Source organism: Homo sapiens, chromosome 5 (assembly GCF_000001405.40).
Source record: "Homo sapiens chromosome 5, GRCh38.p14 Primary Assembly".
NCBI lineage: Eukaryota > Metazoa > Chordata > Mammalia > Primates > Hominidae > Homo > Homo sapiens.
In genome coordinates, this window is record NC_000005.10 from 109640388 (window position 1) to 109642977 (window position 2590).

Consider the following 2590-nt stretch of genomic DNA (forward strand, 5'->3'; position numbering starts at 1 on the left):
CCTTGCCTTTTGCCATGATTGTGAGGCTTCCCCAGCCAACATGGAACTGTTAAGTCCAGTTAAACCTCTTTTGTAAATTTCCCAGTATTGGGTATGTCTTTATCAGCGGTGTGAAAATGAACTGATACAGTAAATTGGTACCAAGAGTGAGGTGCTGCTGAAAAGATACCAGAAAATGTGGAAGTGACTTTGGAACTGGGTAACAGGCCAAGGTAGGAAAAATTTGGAGGGCTCAGAAGAAGACAGGAAAATGTGGGAAAGTTTGAAACTTCCTACAGACTTGTTGAATGGCTTTGATCAAAATGCTGATAATGATATGGACAATGAAATCTGGTCTGAGGTGGTCTCAGTTGGAGATAAGGAACTTGTTGGGAGCTGGAGCAAAGGTGACTGTTGTTATGTTTTAGCAAAGAGATTGGCGGCATTTTGCCCTGCCCTACAGATTTATGGAATTTTCAATTTGAGAGAGATGATTTAGGGTATCTGGTGAAAGACATTTCTAAGTAGCAAATCATTCAAGAGGTAACTTGGGTGCCATTAAAGGCATTCAGTTTTATAAGAGAAGCAGAGCATAAAAGTTCAGAAAATTTGCAGCCTGACGATGAGATAGAAAACAAATCCCATTTTCTGAGGAGAAATTCAAGCTGGCTGCCGAAATTTGCATAAGCAACAAGGAGCTGAATGTTAATCCCCAAGACAATGGGGAAAATATCTCCAGGGCATGCCAGAGAACTTTGTGGCAGCCCCTCCCATCATAGGCCCAGAGGCCTAGGAGGAAAACATGGTTTCATGGGCAGGTCCCAGGATCCTTGTGCTGTGTGCAGCCTAGGGACATGGTGCCCTGCGTCCCAGCTGCTCCAGCCATGGCTGAAAGGGGAAAATGTAGAGCTTGGGCTGTGGTTTCAGAGGGTGTGAGCCTTGGCAGCTTCCAAGTGGTGTTGAGCCTGCTGGTACACAGAAGCCAAGAATTGGGGTTTGGGAACCTCCGCCTAGGTTTCAGAGGGTGTATGAAAATGCCTGAATGTCCAGGCAAAAGTTTGCTTCAGGGGTGGGGCTCTCATGGAGAAACTCTGCTAGGGCAGTGGAGAAGGGAAATGTTGGGACAGAGCCTCCACACAGAGTTCCTACTGGGGCACAGTGGAGCTGTGAGAAGAGGGCCACCATACTCCAGACCCCAGAATGATAGATCCACCAACAGCTTGCACTGTGCACCTGAAAAAGCTGCAGACAAAACACCAGCCCATGAAAGCAGCTGGGAGCGAAGTTGTACCTTGCAAAGCCACAGGGGTGGAGCTGCCCAAGACCATGGGGACCTATTTCTTGCATCAGTGTGACCTGTATGCGTGAAATGGAGTCAAAGGAGATCACTTTGCAACTTTAAGATTTGAGCTTGGATTTTGAGCTGGCAGGGGGCCTGTAGCCCCTTTGTTTTGGACAATTTCTCCCATTTGGAATGGCTGTATTTACCCAATGCCTGTACCCCCATTGTATCTAAGAAATAACTAACTTGCTTTTGATTTTACAGGCTCATAGGCAGAAGGGACTTGCCTTGTCTCACATGAGACTTTGGATTGCGAACTTTTAAGTTAATGCTGAAATGAGTTAAGACTTTAGGGGACTATTGGGAAGGCATGATTGGTTTTGAAATGTGAAGACATGAGATTTGGGAAGGGCCAGGGGCAGAATGATATAGTTTGGCTCTGTCCCCACCCAAATCTCATCTTTAATTGTATCTCCCATAATTCCCATTGTTGTGGGAGGGACCTGGTGGGAGATAATTGAATCATGGTGGTGGTTTTCCTCATAATGTTCTCATGGTAGTGAATAAGTCTTACGAGATCTGATGGTTTTATAAGGAGAAACCCCGTTCACTTGGTTCTCACTCTCTCTCTCTGCCAGCATCCACGTAAGACATGACTTGCTCCTCCTTGCCTTTCACCATGATTGTGAGGCTTCCCCAGTCATGTGGAACTGTAAGTCCAATTACAACTCTTTCTTTTGTAAGTTTCCCAGTCTCGAGTTGTCTTTATCAGCAGCATGAAGAATGGACGAATATAGTGTTTATGTAAATATAAGGAATTTATCAAGATGACTGCAACAGGGATCCTGCCCTTAGGAATCTTATGTCTATGCCTTCAACTACATAGAAATTAGTATTTGCCATAAAAGGTACAGATACTATGGAATTTTATGAGAGGTTGATTTTTACTTACACCAATTCCTAGTTTAGTAGGCTTCTGATGTTTCCTTTCCAAAATGATATTATTCTTAAATGTCTAAACTTCCTAGAGTCAATCTATTATGCATAAAAGGAAATAACTCATTATTTTAAAGTAATAACTCCAGATTTTTACTAAGGTGCTTCTCAATTCTTCAGTTCCACAAAATTGTCATTAAATAGTGTTTTTAGGGGCCAAATATATATGTTATAGCTCTAGATTAGACTCTTAAACAGGCACAGTCTGTGGCCTTAATGAGCGGAAAATCTCAGTGGGACATCAAATAATTTATGTATATACATATAAATGGTATGATGGAACTCCCTGATTATTTATAACAATGAAGTAAGAACTGACATAGACATCTTTAG

At 42.8% G+C, this 2590-nt stretch overlaps 1 annotated feature.

The window, feature by feature from the left end:
• Positions 387-960: an enhancer, noted in NCBI's record as "H3K27ac-H3K4me1 hESC enhancer chr5:108976475-108977048 (GRCh37/hg19 assembly coordinates)". NCBI's record gives its function as "activates a minimal SCP1, AML or CMV promoter by ChIP-STARR-seq in naive H9 embryonic stem cells {active_cell/tissue: H9 hESC(naive)}" and the evidence as "EXISTENCE:reporter gene assay evidence [ECO:0000049][PMID:30033119]".